Source organism: Homo sapiens, chromosome 14 (genome assembly GCF_000001405.40).
Source record: "Homo sapiens chromosome 14, GRCh38.p14 Primary Assembly".
Lineage (NCBI taxonomy): Eukaryota > Metazoa > Chordata > Mammalia > Primates > Hominidae > Homo > Homo sapiens.
This window is the reverse complement of record NC_000014.9, coordinates 88,846,151-88,864,265: the sequence shown is the minus strand read 5'-3', so window position 1 is coordinate 88,864,265 and position 18,115 is coordinate 88,846,151. Positions and strand designations below refer to the sequence as shown.

The following is an 18,115-nucleotide window of genomic DNA, read 5'->3' as shown; positions in this document are numbered from 1 at the left end:
CTTCTATTTATACATTTATAAAAATTACATTTCAAAAGGAAATCATAGTTTTTCTAGACAATGTTAAAATACTTTTATTTTGAAAGTAATACATGTTTATTATGGAAAATCTAGAAAATACAGAAAGTATAAAAAAAATTCATATACTATCACCTAGGTATAGAAGCTATTAATATATTCCATTCTTTTCTAACAAAATGATTTCAAAATATCATACCTAGCATTTTCAAGGAATTTCAAGAAAACAGAGATATGTCTGTTCAATATTATATTGGAAGCCCTAAGCAGTAAGACATATTTTTAAAAGTGGTAAAATAATTGAAAGGAAGAGATGAAACCATCTGTATTTGCAAATGATGATTGTTTTATTTACTTAGAATATCCAAGAGGACCTATGAACAAGATCTTACAATTTAAAGAGTTGCTAGTATCAAAAAAAGTTTTAAAAAGTAATACATTCCTATCTGCCAGAAGTAATCAAATAGAAAATAGAAGAGAAAAAATTAAGGATTCCATTCATACTTATACGTAGGAATACACCTGCATAGAAAAAAGTTAACATAGCAGGCCTGAGACCACTATTCTTAGAAAGGCCTGTATCTGGGAATTTGGCTGGTTCTCTACATTGATATGAAATTTCCCCAGATGATAAGCGTAGCTTGCTACACCTAACCTGTTTGCGTAAACAGTGTGGTTTGTGCTGAATGCCTGTTTACTTCTGGGAGTCTTTGTTGTGTGATAAACAGTGTGTGATTATATGACCAGCACCCAATAGTAACCATGGATACAGAGTCTCTAATGAGCTTCCCTGGTAGACATCACTTCTCATGAGTTGTCACAACTTGCTGCTGGAAGAATTAAGTGTGTCCTGTGTGACTCCACTGGGAGGGAGCTCTTGGAAGCTTGTACCTGGTTTCCTCTGAACTTTGCCCCAAGAGCTGTTTCCTTTTACTAATTTTGCTTTGTATCCTTTTGCTGAAATAAATCATAGCAGTGAGTACAACTGCTGGCTGAGTACTATGAGTCCCAGTAAATCACTGAATCTCAGCGTGGTTTGGGGGACCCTCAACACACCATCTTTCTGGAGATAATTACAAAATATTTGCTGAAGAACAAAAAAAAGACCTAGGTAAATGGAGAGTTATATCATGATGGAGAATGGGAAGACAGGCGGCCCACCCACCCCCTCCCCATCATTCACACACTCAATGTAATTCCAATCAATATGCTTCCAGGGATTTTTATGGCTCTTGATAGGCCAATCCTACAATCAATATGGAAGAGCAAAGGGCCAGGAAAACCAACTGTAAACAAGAAGAAAAAGGTGGTAGAATTTGCCCAACCTGATATCATGAATTATTGTAAAACTACAATAATTAGATAGCAGGGAAGATATCTCAATGGGACTTTTCATAGAATTTGACGACATGACTCTAAAATTTATAAGCATGATGCCAGAAGTTCGAGACCAGCCTGATCAACAAAGTAAGATCCCATTTCTGCAAAAAGTAAAAAAAATTAGCTGGACATGGGGGCACAAGCCTGTAGTCCCAGCTACCCAGGAGGCTGACGTAGGATCACTGGAGCCTAGGAATTTGGAGGCTGCAGTGAGTTATGATTACGTCACTGCGATCCAGCCTGGGCAACAGAGTGAGAACCCATCTCTAAATATATATATATATATATATATATATATATATATATATATATATATATATATATATGGAGAGAGAGAGAGAGAGAATGGAATGTAATGTCAGTATCAATTTTTGTCTATTTGTGGAAGATACATTTTGGGGCTTTCTATTCTGTTCCACTGGATTGTTTGTCCATTCTTATACCAATGTTATAGCAATGCAAGAATCACCTAATACACCATCCAAGAAAGGATTATCAGAATATAGAACTCAAATAACTAAACAAGAAAACAAGCAATCCAATTTAAATATGGACAAAAGACTTGAATAGACATTTCTCAAAAGAAGACATACAAATGGCCAACAGGTATATGAACACATGCTCAACATTACTAATCATCCGGGAAATGTAAATCAAAACCACAGTGAAATATCATCTCACCCCAGTTAGAACGGCTATCATCAAAAAGACAAAAAAATAACAAATGCTGGCAAGGATGTGAAGGCAGGGGAATGAATGCTCATACACTGTTGATGGGAATGTAAAGTAGTATAGTTGTTATGGAAAACAGTATGGAGGTTCCACAAAAAAACTCAAAATAGACCTACCATATGATCCAGCAATCCCACTGCTGAATATATACCCAAAAGAAAGGAAATCTGTATATCAAAGAGATATCCCATGTTTATTGCAGCACTATTCACAATAGCCAAGATGTGGAATCAACCTGAGTGTCCATCAGTGGATGAATGGATAAAGAAAATGTGGTATATAGACACAATAAAGCAATATTGAGCCATAAAAAAGGATGAAATCCTGTCATTTGTAGGAACATGAATGGAAATGGAAGTCATTATGTTAAGTGAAATAAGCCAGGCACAGAAAGAAAAGTGCCGCATGTTCTCACTCATGCAGTAGCTAAAAAAGTGGATCTAATGGAGGTAAAAGGTAAAATTATGGTTACCAGAGGCTAGGAAGGGTGTGGGGAGACTGGAGGATGAAGAGAAGTTGGTTAAGGGGTACAAAAATATTTAGACATAAAGAATAAGTTCTATTTGATAGTACAGTAGGGAAATTATGGTTAACAATAATTTATTGTATATTTCAAAATAGCTAGGAAAGAATTGTAATGTTCCCAAAACAAAGAAAAGATAAATGTTTGAGGTGATAGATAACTCAATTACCCTGATTTGATCATTACACATTGTATACAGGAATTAAAATATCACATGTACCACAAAAATATGTAAAACTATTGTGTATCAATAAATAATAATAATAATAACATGAATTACCTCATAGATTCTTGCAATTCCACAGAGCAGGGTTACTTCTCCTGGAAACTTATCTAAGCCTTGTTTGAAAAGATTTAAAGCAGTCACAGGTTGATCCAATGAGACATAAACCTAAAAACAAGATACATTTCAATAAAAGTATAGGTTCTTAAAATTAATATTTGTTATGACATTTATAATTATTGATTAGTAACAAATTATCTCCTAGATATTACATTAAAGAATTTTTAGCCGGGTGTGGTGGCTCACACCTGTATTCCCAGCATTTTGGGAGGCTGAGGTGGGTGGACCACTTGAGACCAGGAGTTCGAGACCAGCCTGGGCAACACAGTGAAACCCCATCTCTACAAAAAATACAAAAATTAGCTGGGCATGCTGGCATGTGCCTGTAGTTCCAGCTACTTGGGAGGCTGAGATGGGAGGATCACTAGAGCCTGGGAGGTCAAGGCCGCAGTGAGCTGTGATCGCACTGCACTCCAGCCTGGGCAACAGAGTGAAACCCTGTCTTCAAAAAAAAAAAAAGAAGAAGAAGAAAGAATTTTCAAAAATGTGCAGGATTAATTTTCAATAATGACATTATAGTTTTATCTCCACATGTTATACATAAAGCATTCATTCATTTATTCTCTAACAAATGCTTACTGTGAGTTTACTATTGCCAGAGACTGGCAATAGTAACTAGACAAGAAAGAATCAAGGGAAAATCTTTTTAGGATAGAACAGGTATGATTATGTCTATAGGCTGGCATTAAGAAACCAATTAGGAGACTGAGGTTAAAGATGCTGAATAAAGAGGAGATGACCCATGGAACAAGGCCTGAGAGAGATAGGCAGTGGACAGGCCTTTCCAAAACAAGAGAGGACACAGGTTTGTGAGGTCAGGGAGTAAAGCAAGTTAGCACTTAATGGCTTCCACTTCATTAGCAATTAGAACATTAGCATGAGTAAACCATATACTTAATAGGAATTTCTAAAACAGTATTATTATTTTATGTATGGCAACATAAGATTATGACACTTTTTTTCCATGATTTTCGGATCCACTTTCTAAACAGTAAGGGTGTGCTTTGAGAAAAAATCCAAAGGGATACAATAGAAAACTAAAGTATTTATCATTAAAGTTTGAGATGAGAGAGAGAGGTATGGATAATAACTTTTCAGTTTTTACCTTATACACTATTGACTGTACAAGTTCTATATTTTAAAAATATAACAAATAATATATAATTAGTATTTACATAATCTAAAAGGTTTAATTTTTAAATTAACAATTAAGAACTTTAAAAAGCAATGTTCCTAAAATCTGCTTGATCTCTTTCCTTTACACATATACAACATATGTAAATATATATTATATAAAAATATTTATATTATATTACTATATATAGTATACATTATAATAAACATGCTATATAGTTATTATATTTATATTATATTATATATTATATAATATATAATATATTTATATTATATATGATTATATATTTATATTATTTTTATATGTTTATAATTATATAATCTTATATTTTTATATAAATTAAATATATATTGAATTTCATATGTATATATATTTTTTAGAGATGAGTCTCACTATGTTGTCCAGGCTGGTCTCGAACTCCAGGACTCAAGCAATCCTCCAGCCTCAGCCTCCCAAAGTGCTGGGATTACAGGCATGAGCCACCAGGGTACATGTGCAGGTTTGTTATATAGGTAAACTCATATCATGGGGAGTTTGTTGTACAGATTATTTCATCACCCAGGAATTAAGCCTACTACCCATTAGTTATTTTTTCTGCTCCTCTCCCTCCTTACACCCTCTCGGAGGCCCCAGTGTCTGCTGCTCCCCTCTATGTGTCCATGTGTTCTCATCAGTTAGCTCCCACTTATAGTGAGAACATGAGGTATGTGGTTTTCTGTTCCTGTGTTAGTTTGCTGAGGATAATGGCCTCCAGCTCCATCCATGTTCCTGCAAAGGACATGCTCTCATTCTTTTTTATGGCTGTATAGTATTCCATAGTGTATATGTACCACATTTTCATTATCCGGTCTACCACTGATGGGCATTTAGGTTAATTCCATGTCTTTGCTATTGTGAATAGTGCTGCAATGAACATATGCATGCATGTGTCATTGTGATAGAACAAAAATCTGCTTGATCTCTATTACATAATAACCATCCATTCATACATTAAAGAAAAACTGTATATTCTACCTCTATATAGTTGTGTAGGGAATAATAAACAAATCAATTTATGGAAAAACAGGTGAAGCCATGTATTTAACAAGAGTTAAATAAAAAGCATATTTTTTCAACAACATAGTGATTATCAATTAAGATGATAGTCAAATAGTGTGACTTGAGCCTTAATTTCAAGCTCTTTCCAAAAAGTTTACTATGATGCACAGAAACTTCTTTAAGACTTTAAGTGTAAGCTGGGCATGATGGCTCACACCTGTAATTCTAGCACTTTGGTAGGCTGAGGCCAGAGGATCGCTTGAGGCCAGGAGTTTGAGACCAGCCTATCAACACAGCAAGAATCCATCTCTACCAAAAAAAAAAAAAAAAAAAAAAAAAAAATTATCCAGGCATGGTGGCCTGTGGTCCCAGCTACTCAGGAGGCTGAGAGGAGAGGATCGCCTGAGCCTGGGAAGTCAAGGCTGCAGTGAGCCGTGATAATGGCAGTGCACTCCAGCCTGGGTGACAGAGTGACACCCCTACTCAGAAAAAAAAAAATTGTTTAAGTTGAATATATCACATATAGAAGATAAAGTTAGATACCAGATAGTTTCAAACATTTTTGAAAGTCATTAAAACATACTAAGACTAGCACAGTAAATTTATATAACTTTCATTTTGCTTTTCATATGTTAATTTTTATTCCCATATTTAGGAACTAGTAGCACTTCCTTTTATATCTCATCTTCTTTTGAATCTCCTTTACCACATTTTTTAATTTAAGAAACTCTAACAGATAAAGCAAAATCATGTCATCACCACCACTTGTGTTTTTCTTTCAAAGTAGCCTTGGTGAGGGTCAAGAAGTAACTTTACTCCACTATTGAAAATTCTGGCCAGGCATGGTGGCTCCCACCTGTAACCCCAGCACTTTAAGGAGGCTGAGGCGGGAGGATCACTTGAGGCCGGCAGCTCAAGACCAGCCTGGCCAACATGGTGAAACCCCATTTCTACTAAAAATACAAAAATTAGCTAGGCATGGTGGTGTGCATCTGTAATCCCAGCTACTTGGGAGGCTGAGACAGGAGAATCACTCGAATCTAGGAGGCAGAGGTTGTAGTGAGCTGAGATCATGCCACTGCACTCCAGCCTGGGCAACAGAGCAAGACTCCATCTCAAAAAAAAAAAAAAATGAAAGAAAGAAAATCCTAGGTGGCCCCATCATTTCTGCTGTGGCTGCAGGTGGCACTGCAGCAGTGACTAGGTCTGGAGTCAGAAAGACCTGGATCTGAATGCTAACTCCTAACCACCAAGGGACCCTGAAAAACTTACCCCTCTTTAAATTTAATTTTCCTTAAGAGTATAAAGGAAATGATAAAACTCACCTTTGCAGGGTTATTGTGAGGGTTAAACTGTATATATAATGAACATGATAAAATGTTTTACACTGAGTAGGTGATCAATAAAGGTGAAGTATTATTTTTATTATTATGCCTCAGCCGAGTAACTAGGAACCTAAGTAAAAACAGTCCCTGTTCTCTACTACCTGCCCAAGTGGGATACAAAGGTACTGTAGAAAATAAGGCCTCATTGGGGCCTGTTACCTATGCGAGTAGTGAGCCTATGGTATTTTCTCCTGTCCTAATGGGCAATCTTTCAAATGGGTCTTCTTATTTTTCATGGCAATCAATTTCTTATGAGACAGTTACCCTCTATACGTTCTCATTTTTTCCCTTGCTGTAAAGAAAAACAAGTTAAATCTAAACATAGTAACTTGCCAAATATTCCTGAAGAAGCTGTTTACTCTCCCCATGCAATGGCCAGAATTTAAACATTTATTCTGAGAAGGCAGATTTCACTCAAATTAAGATTTACTTACTTTTGCCAAGTACAGAAATGTATCTACCATTTCCTGCTGCTTCAGGGCTGATTTAAACTGTTTTTCTGCTTCACGATACATTCCCAACCTACAAATAGCAATTTTAAGAATTAGACATTCAACTTAAAAATAAACACTACATCATACCCTGAGGATGAATAGAGACAAATTATAAGAGGAAGCACATACCAAGGAAGGTAATGTTGCACATACACATAAATTAACATGTTTATTTATACAGCTTAGCAATAAGTTGCCTATCTCCCATATTCACTGGCTTCTAACCCCCAAATGGTATGTAAAGAGTCTGTCTGAAGCCTAGTCACAGCAGGACTAAGATAATAGCTGCTAGTAAGCCAGGTCACATCAGTTCACCACCCAAAGAGCTTATGATCAGCTGGACATATGGCAAGTGACCTGAATAAATGCTTAGAGTCTCCATATTACTGGAAGAGCTGAAGGATGACATTTATTTGAAAATCTCTTCTGCTCTGAGACAAAAGCACATTTTTAAAAGCTATCTTTAAAAGCTATTCTGATGTAAGTAATAATTAGCACTTGGGTAATATAGTTATACCATTTTATTATTCTAGAAATCTTGTTTTCCCTTATTAGATATCTGATACTGATTGTCCTAGTCTATGAATCTGAGATTTGCTCCTTGCCTAAATATGACTGTCCTGATGTAAGTAGGGCCTACCTCTTACACCCAGGAAAGAATCTGTTGCCACTAATTCAATCATTAAAACACACACAACTTTCAACAGGTCTATTCATTCATGTCCTTAATAGACCTGTTAGGCTTACTCATAACCACTCATTTTTTAGCTATCTGAGAGCTACTCAGATACGATAATGTTTTATTTTGTGAAATCAAATCAAAATGATATACAGTATGCTCCATTGTGCTACTTTCATTTAAAGGCTTGAAAGAAGACCTTTGATCATTTTTCATAACCTTAAACCTTAAGCATTGGTGTGGCTGATGCCCAAATAGCTATTGGAGGCCTTGGGATTAAAGTGGTTAAAGGCTAAAGTGAGAAGATGTGGGACATGGCAGAAGCCCCTACCTCTTCAAAGGTCCCACAGTTTCACAGGGAGTATTTATAAAATGTTATCAAAGAACTCTAAAGTTCTGAAAACCAACATATATATGTACACAACATCAACTGAACATGCAAATCTTTTTCTTTCTTTTGAGATAGAGTCTCTGTCGCCCAGGCTGGAGGGCAATGGTGGGATCACAGCTCACCGCAGCCTTGCCCTCTGGGGCTCAAGCAATCCTCTGTCTTAGCCTCCCAAGTAGCTGGGATTACTGACATGTACCACTATGCCCGACTAACTTTTGTATTTTGTTTCGGTAAAGACAGGATCTCACCTTGTTGCCAAGGCTGGCTGCCAACTCCTGGGCTCAAACTATCCTCCCACCTTGGCCTCCCAAAGTGCTGGGATTACAGGCATGAGCCACCGCACCTGGCCATGCATGCAAGTCTTAAACACGTGACTGAAATACAGTCACTAAATTCCATGAATTTAAATTATCCATGAGAGTCTGTGTATTTTTATCTAACTTGTTTCTTTCCAAAAATGATTTAAAAGGGATTACAATAAAAAGATACATATAAAACAAGAATATGAAAACAGAAATAGATTATTTTAAAAACAATGTAGATAAATTTTAAAAATAAAAATATAATCAGAAATATTACACTACATGAAAGCCAAAGAACCATGTTCTTTATTACTACAGCCTTAAGAGAGAACTTAATCTAATACTATCAAAAAGGAATCCACCACATGAATTCTTGTGCAAAGAAAATGGAACATGCCATGTTCAAAGAAAGTCAAGGCATAAAACATCAGTCAAGTTTATAAACACCGGCCAGTATCAAAGAGTCAGAGTCCAGCTGCCAACTTTTTCTCTCCAACTTAAAGTTAACAAAACTGTAAAGTGTCAACTGCGTGCTTATTTCGTGATGGTAAGGAGATGAAAAATGAAGAAGGTAACAACCATGTCCTTAAAGCAATGATAATCAAAGAATGAAACAAAACATGTTCACAAATAAATTTAATCATATTATGGTCAATCAGGAAAAAAGTGCTTTGAGAGCACAGAGGAGGTTCAGGGAGATAGTAAACAGGCAAGATTTCAACAGCCAGATGTGGAGGGAAGAGCGACATTTCCAAAATAAAATTAAACCATGAACGTAAGTACATAGGCAGTAAAGTAAACAGCATGTTAGGGAATGCTGAATTTGGTTTCATTGAAAAGGACATAATAATGGGAGTATGGCAGGATTCAATGGCTAATGCCTATAATCCCAGCACCTTAGGATGCCAAGGCGGGAGGATGGTGTGAGTCCAGGGGTTCAAGACCACCTTGGGCAACATAGCAAGAACCTGTCTCTATAAAAAAGAAAGCTTTAAAAAATTAGCCGGGCATGGTGGCATGTGCCTGTAATCCCAGCTTGGGAGACTGAAGCAGGATGGCTTAAGCCCAGGAGATTGAGGCTGCAGTGAGCCACAATCATATAACTACACTCCAGCCTGGGTGAAAGAGCAAGATCCCATCTCTAAAAAATATAATAAAATAAAATATTATACAAAATTACCTTCAGGCTATGTGTATAAGGTTTATATGAAACATATATGAATTTCATCTTTAAACCTGGGTCCCATCCCCAAGATATCTCATTAAATATATTCAAATATTGCAAAATCTGAAACACTTCTGTTCCCAAGCATTTCAGATAAGAAATACTTAACCCGTAATTATTTACTGTCCTCTCTCCTCCATTCTATTGTAAACCATTTGAAAGAACGGACAATCTAATCTTTTGTACTCCCAGTTCCTGGCAGAGTAGCTGCCCATTAAATATTTTACTGAGTGAATGAATGAATGTATAAGTGAAAGAATACTGAATATGTCATAAAGATGGGCAGGTATTAAAGAACAGAAAAGAAGGATAATTTAATATGACAAGGTACACTCATTTAAATGCCATCGTATATGGATGGCAAAAGGAATCAGAGTTTTGCTTTCCTTTAATTATCAAGCATTTCTGAAGGTTTTGCTTGGCAGCTCAAGATTTCAAGACTGTCTCCAGGAATTACATTCATAAGAGTTTAATGATATAATGGTCTAAAATTACCTTTTAGCAGAAAACACTTTCTCCATCTAGCAGCAGGAAAAAACACTTTAGAGTTTTATGTGAAATATCTAAATGGAAAGTAGTCTTAATTTCAACGGCAGAACAATAAACATGCTTTTTGTCCCATTTATAGTCTTCTTTTTTCTCAGAGTACTTGAATGACAACTGAAGCTTATAAATATTGAAGTGTGCTCATAGTAACTGAAGTCTACCCTATTTTAATAATAAAAGATATTTATACTTAAAAATAGAATTGTTCATTTGTTTCTATTTTTCCAAATGTTCTATATGCATTTCAATATCAGCAACAAGTTTCAGATCTTATTTACTAGTTGCTATATAAATATTCATAAAATTCATTACGACTCTTCTGATCTCTCAGTTAATTTGCTTTAAAATACATTGAAACATTAAGAGAATATAAAAATACTCAGGTCCTACAGAAACAATATGGAATTGTGGAAACAGCAAGAGAATTGGCGTCAGAAAGGGAGCTCAAATTCTTGTTCTGCCACTTACTGGTTACGTGAATTTGGACAAATCACTTTATCTTTGTGAGGCTCAATTTTTTTCATCTGGGAAAAGGACTAACGATAGCCACTACCTCCAAGGTTCTGTGAGACTTAAGTGAAATGGTATAATGTAGGAACAAAGTATCTCTTAACTATGAAGTGTTTTACAGATGTGAGGCATCAGTGTAAATAAAAAGATTTGATTACCAAGAGAACAGAACTAGAAATCAGCAGACTTGGTTCTAGTCCCTGGTCTGTTACTCACTAGCTCCTGATGCAAATTACAGCCACTGTCTTGGCCTCAGCTTCCTCATGTGAAAAGGGGAGTTGGGCCTGATGGTCTCAAAGCTTCCCTCTCCCAGCTCAAAGTTTTATTATTCTAAAGGTATTAATTCTTATTGCTACCCTGTGATTGTTAAGTAAATGCTTTATCAAGTAAGTCAAAGACACAGTTCTCATTTCTTCATGGGAAAATCTCCCCCCCCTCAAAAAGTATCAGATTTGAGACCCTAAAATACGTGGCCACTTCTAAGCCCTTCACAAATAATGAAATTTACCTGTAGTAACATTTTCCAATCTGTACTTTCCACCACCAGTCCTTGTACTGAGAATGTTCTGTGGAGAGGGCAGCCAGATCCAAAGCCTTTGAAAACAATTCATTTTAGATTAGTATTTTCTTTTCTAACAATAAGCAGTCAGGAAAATAAATAATGAAATAGACCATATAATTAGCACCAATCAAAATGTGCATTAGAAATCCGACAGAAACTCAAGTTGCTCATGTTTCCAGATGGCCCCACCAATTTTCACTAATCAGTTCCAGACCAGAGGGCTAATAGCAGATGAGATAAAAACACTCATCAAAGGGAAGCAGATGTATAATATATTTGAATATAATTTTAATATACAAGACACAAAATTGATATTAAAAAATGCCTAAGTTTTTACCCACTCCCCCTGATTTATCTACTGTATAATGATTCAAAATGCCTCCAAACTCCGTGGCAGTCAAGTCTTCGGTGTGTAAGCCAGATCCAGTGGCAGTGCCCACTTTCAAGACAGATGTAGAGAAATAAAGATTAAGTAAGCAGGTAGAGAAAAGGCTTGGAAAATGGGATCATGAAGAAGAGTGAAAGGAGCTGGAGTATTTGGATAACTGTTGTCTTCAACAACCATCATTTCACTTTTCTGACATCACCTTAAGTCCCAGTAAATTCTAAGGAGCAGACTGCCCTTTGCCACAAACTGAAAAAGATCTTCTCTTCAATTGTTTTCATATTTTACATTTGTTTACCCCATATCTTTAATACCCTCGAGTTTGTTCCCTCTATTGTTTATTCAAGATTAGACAAGAGGTGACTAAAAAAGAATTAGAATTTTACATAGAGGAGGTGGAAACCATTTTTGACAAAGGGAAAGCAAATCAGTCTTTGTAGAAATTTGAAGCTCAGATAAAGATGTGATTAATAGAAGCTGGGGCTACTAGTTAAGAGAGAATTCTGATTTTTTGTAATACGATTTTTCTCTCAAGGCTGAAAGTTTTTTATTCTTTAGCCAGTGTTAACATAATCATGATATCCAAGAGCTCAGTTAAAGTACCTCTTAGATTTTCAGTTCTATTATCTCAAAACACATCCCAGATTACTGTCCACTTCTTAATACCAACTCTTTTCTGAAATGAATGCGAGTTCCTTAATCTTACTGTATAATTAATTATTTTTCCTTGTGTTCCCCATCTTCTCTTGCTCCAGGGGAGATCTTTAAATATGCAAACTACTTATAAAGAAATGGTGACACCATGCTGAGCCTCTAATGGACTTGAAAAATCAGCATCTCTACTTGAAAGCTATGAAAATTAAAAAGAAGCCACACAGTACTTTCATATGCTTATTTTTCTCCCCCACCACCCTGCCCCCAGCCAGAAATAAAAATGAAACAAAAAAAAATGAGGAGAAAAGTATAACTACAATTAGCATTATTTTCAGATATACTAGAAAAATATATTTTCAGCCAGCTTAATTCAGGCATACATGGTAAATATCTAAACATTTTAAGTTGATCTTTATAAAGACCTTTTTCCAGCAAATAGACCATAGTCCTTCTCATGCTTTGTATAAACAGACCTTCTATTTTTTAGAAAAAGATGTCATGCAAAAATTTTTTATGTCTTCTAACTTCCCAAGGTTAGATTTAGTGCTTCTTACAGGTTGCTGGTTTTGCTTGCATAGTTGGTCCTAAAACAACTCATCCTATGGAGAACCCATATCTTTGTGCTAATCCAATTAAGGATATTAATATAAATTATTGATACAGAATAAAAATGGCAAAAAGAAATTATAATGATGAAGACTCAGGCTGCTAAGGACTGAACTCTGACCTTTTTTTCTCTTGCCCCAAATCCTTTCTAAGCAGACCCCACAAACCATAAAATCTCATTAAACAGTTTTTTTAAACTAAGCTGGTATAATGCAGCCTATTTTCCAATCTGACTCTAGTGTAGCATCACATGAGAGATGGCAGACACCCCCTGATCTTAAACATCCTTATGTACTGACTTCAAGTCTTTAGACAAAGATTACCTTTCAACCAATTGCCAACTAAAGAATCCCTAAAACCCACCAATGACTTGTAAGCCATGGCTTCGAGATGTACAGAATTTTCAGGCCCAATCACTGTATACCTTCCATGTACTGATTTATGATTTTACCTGCAATTCCCATACTTTCCTGAAATGTACAAAGCCAAACTGTAACCCAGTTGCCTTGGGCACACTTTCTCAGGACCTTTTGAGACTGTGTATCCCCAGACCGAGGTCACGCATATTGACTCAGAATAAACCTCTTTAAATATTTTGACAGAATTTGGTTTTTCTGTCCTCACTGGCACTAAAGAAAAACATTTGTGACAATTTCTTTCCTTTCTTTTTTGATACAGTCTTGCTCTGTTGCCCAGGCTGGATGGAGTGCAGTGGCACAATCTCGACTCCTCCACCTCCCAGGCTCAAGCAATCTTCATGCCTCAGCCTCCTGAGTAGCTGGGATTACAGGTATGTGCCACCCTGCCCAGCTAATGTTTTATGTTTTTAGTGGAGACACGGTTTCACCCCATGTTAGCCAGGCTAGTCTCAAACTCTTGACCTCAAGTTGATCCGCCTGCCTCAGCCTCCCAAAGTGCTGGGATTACAGGTGTGAGCCACCATTCCTGGCCCATCTGGGACAATTTTAAGTGGCTGGCAAGCTCCCTGAGGACAGATAATCCTCTTTTACATCTGTGCTGTTGTTCTGGAATATTGCTGTGCACAGAAGAGGTACTCAAGAACTATCTGTTGACTGAATTAATTATAATCTTTGTTTCTGACGTCTGTTGACAACACCTTAAAAACCAAACAAAATTGTCATAGTAATAAGATTCATAATTAAAAGCTATTAACCTTAAAATTTTTAAGTAGTGACAGATCTATATTTCTTTAATCATTCCCAAATTTTTAAAATAAATAAGACTTTAATGATTTTTGGATGATTTAGTAAAACCAATATCTAGATATTAATAAAAGCTCAGAATGCCATTTTTTTAAAGCAGTAAGTTTATAAAAGTCCAAAAGTAGGAGGAATTTTGGCAGATCTAAGTTTAAAAAAAGTCATCCTTTCACTGTTGTTATAGTTGTAACAACTTCAGGATGATGAAATTAAAGAGCATGTGGAAACAAAGATTGCAGAATCACCAACCCACATGCCACTTTAGTTTTGTCGATACCAACAATATTGTCCAAAAAGGGAAAGGTGGGGAAAGGGAGTTATTAAATACTCAAAGGCAGAAATAGTTTTCCATATATAACTTTACTTTTTCCTAACATTTAAATACCACTGCATGGCGTTCTCTGTCTCTACAGTATTCTTCCTATTAGTCTGTAGATAAACACAGAATCACCAGCCCACGTGTCCCCTGAGTTTCGTTGATACTGCCCACCCCCACAACATGAGAAAAGCACTAAAAGCTCAAAGACAGAAAAATCGTTTTCCATGGACAATCAATTTTATACTTTCTTAATATTTAAACACCATTTCAAGGTATTTCTTATATTTGTCTATAATATTCTCTGTATTTGTGTTAAATACTTTATTTAAAGAGAAATTTGGAGGCCACCCAAGGTATCTAAATATGAAAACACCTCTGATTTCTTAACATGTTAAAAAACAGAATTCCTGTTTTCTTTTTCCAGCTAAAGTTACAAAATATATGTAAGATATAAAAATACATGCTTTATACTTATTATCTAAATCCTTCTTCCATTCAGAAAAGAACATTTCTGGTAAAAGCAAGAATGACATTTTAATGGAACAATCTGATCCACAACATCACTATAATGTGGCAAGACTGTACCAGAGTGAGAAACAGAACAAGACATCTGTCCAACTCAGCACCCCTAGCACCCATCAAAGTACCAATATATACAACCCAATCATTATTATTTAAAGAATAAACTAATCAACGCATGTATCAATATATGAATTAGTAAATAAAATGGAAAACAAAGGAACAATTTGTGTTTCTCACTAAATAAGAACAAAACAAATTGCTCCATTTTATGTTCTACAAAAAATGTATGTATATTGGGGGTAAGCAGATGAAAATAACAAGCAGAGTACAAATTGGCAGCATTTTAATATATTATTGCCCCTAATTTATAATTCATTTTACTATAACATTATTGTTGAAAAATTTTAAAACAAAGGTAAAGTTAGACTTAATCTCCGTTAGTACCATGAGGTACAACATAGGCATTCAACAAATATTTGTGGAATGAATACATCTTAACCTCAAAATACTACCACTTTAATGTTTAAGTAATACCTTCTAGTATCTGTCATAAATGCATATTTTTAGAGTTATACTTCTATTTAACATACTAAATGGTATACTTTTGGCTTAACATTATAAAATAAACACTTTCCATGTTTCTGCCTAGTGTTTATAATTATGGTTTTTAATGGCTACATAAGATTCCATCATGCTATTTATTATAATTTACCAAACTCATTCCCTATTGTTAAACATTTAGGTTAGATATAGTTTTGCCACTATATCTAAAGTTACAATGAACACCATTGCAAATACAGCACTTTAGTTTTTCCTGCAATCTCCTGAGAAGTGAAATTACAGAAACAAATTGAGGAACTATCTTTAAGGCTATCTGCTCTATATTATCATATTGTTTTCCAAATTGTGGTACCATGTGTAATATCACCTATAATGTATGACAACTAACTGTACTCTCCCTCAGGATTTTTTTTCTAATTTCATAAATATAAAACTCAAAGTCCAAAGACTCTTTATTTTATATTTTTGTTGTTATTAAAAAAGTACACCTCTAATGTGCTTATTTACCAGCATTTTTTCTAATGTAAATTTTCTGTTTTGGGGTCATTTCTATTGTCATAAAAATTTTTCAAAAATTAAGATCAGCTTTTTTTTTTTTTTTTTTTTTTTTTTGAGACAGAGTTTCGCTCTTGTCGCCCAGGCTGAAATGCAGTGGCGCGATCTGGGCTCACGGCAACCTCTGCCTCCCGGGTTCAAGCAATTCTCCTGCCTCAGCCTCCTGAGTAGCTGGGATTACAGGCACCTGCCATTATGCCTAGCTAATTTTTGTATTTTTAGTATAGACAGAGTTTCACCATGTTGTCCAGGCTTGTCTCGAACTCCTGACCTCAGGTGATCCACCCACCTTGGCCTCCCAAAGTGCTGGGATTACAGTTGTGAGCCACTGCACCCAGCCAAGATCAGCTTTTTTATACATGATAAATACCAATATTTCAAAATCATGCTTCATGTACATAATTCCCCCTTCTATTGCCCTTTTACTTCTGATTTTGTTTCTGTCCACTAGATAGAGATTACACATATGCATCAGTAAGTCTTTTTCCTTTGTGATTGTTTCACAAATCCAACCAACTTTATGAAATACCCTAATGTTTGCTAGTTTCAATTTTTTTTCTTCTTCATTGATTAAATATCTAAAATAAAGTCCCCAGACAAATTTTCTCAAGTGTCATTTAATGAATCATAAAGATAAAAGAGTCAACGATTTTGTTCAATATTGCTTGGTTTTGGTGTTTTAAGAGAGTCACTGTTACCAAGAATAAAAATATATAATTTATAAATGGGGACTCCAGTTCTCAATAGTTTTTACTATCACCTCCGTGTTAATGAGATATGTTTGAGTCATGTTTGCTGTCTCTTTTCTCTTCATTTGCTGATTTCTTTCATTGAGACAGGTAACACACCTCCCTCTTGTTTTGTTTGCTATAGGGAGCTCTGGTTTTTGAGTTCTGCTAATATTCCCCAGGTCTATTTTACTACACAGGAACACCTGGCATTACACCCGTCTATTAACCATTGGTTTTTAAACTACTATATTCTAAGGCAGTATTTTCCAATCCTGCCTGAAAATTAGCATTGCCTGCGGAGCTTTTATTAACAACAGATTCGCCACACCTACCCTTGAGGATTCTGACTCAAGAAGTCTAGCACAGATCCAGAAGTCCTTATTTAATAATTCCCCAGGTAATTTAGAAGCAGAGCCCTATATAGGAACTACCCAACAGCCCCAATATTTGAGGGGCAGAAGATCATGGGGTGGGACGAGCAAGGAGGAGGCTGATGGATATGTTCTAAGTTTGCTAGCCCTGCTATAATTCAAGTAGCTCACCTTTTGTCTGTTTTACGTATTAGGGTCTCGATAAGATTTCACTTGAAGAAAAGGATTTTGCTGCTTAAAATAAAAAGTTTAAATGTTACTACTCTATCTGTTTAAAATCAAAAATTTTTAAGTTCATATGCATGAAGAACTATGATACTAACATAATATGTAAAAATTACAGTCGGCTAACCCTTAGAATCTTTAGAATATTAAGTGCAGTAGTGCAGGGAATAAATCTTACATTTTTTTCAATGTGATTTTTATTCCTCAATAAGAATGGGTAAATTCCAAGATGTAGAACTACATCTTCAAGATGAATCTATTAATAAAAAACATTGTCACCATGACCTACAAATGGCTTATGATCTGCCTAGCTTCTAAACTCATCACCAACAACTCTTCCCCCTCACAGGCCTCACTCAGCCACACTGGCCTTCTTACTGTTCCTTAAACAACCCAAGCATGCTTCTACTCAGGACCTTTACAGTTAAAGCTCTTTGAAAATGCTCTTCCTACACATAATGATGTGGTTCCTGTCCCCCTTCATTGAGGTGTCTGTTAGAATGTTTTCTTTTCTTTTCTTTTTTTTTGAGACAGAGTTTCACCCTGTCACCCAAACTGGAGTGCAGTGGCATGATCATGGCTCACTGCAGCCTCGACCTCCCTGGGTTCAGGTGATCCTCCCAGAGTAGCTGGGACTACAGCTCTATCCCTCTAGAGTAGCTGGGACTACAAGCACGTGCCACCATGCCTGGCTAATTTTTGT

At 35.8% G+C, this 18,115-nt stretch overlaps 1 protein-coding gene across 11 annotated transcripts in view; it reads right to left on the bottom strand.

Moving 5' to 3' along the window:
* The window catches only part of TTC8 (tetratricopeptide repeat domain 8), a 56,927-nt gene that overhangs the window by 16,814 nt on the left and 21,998 nt on the right, over positions 1–18,115 (bottom strand). For 6 of the 11 annotated variants that reach the window (NM_001288782.1, NM_198309.3, NM_198310.3 and 3 more), the window contains 3 exons: positions 11,210–11,295; positions 6,989–7,076; positions 2,934–3,044 (listed from right to left, as the gene is read on the bottom strand). In NM_001288782.1, the coding sequence (NP_001275711.1) occupies positions 2,934–3,044; positions 6,989–7,076; positions 11,210–11,295 (285 nt within the window). Of the gene's footprint in view, positions 1–2,933; positions 3,045–6,988; positions 7,077–11,209; positions 11,296–17,358; positions 17,419–17,590; positions 17,669–18,115 lie in introns of all 11 variants that reach the window. The other 5 variants (NM_001288781.1, XM_011536433.3, XM_011536434.3 and 2 more) reach the window with 2 other exon arrangements.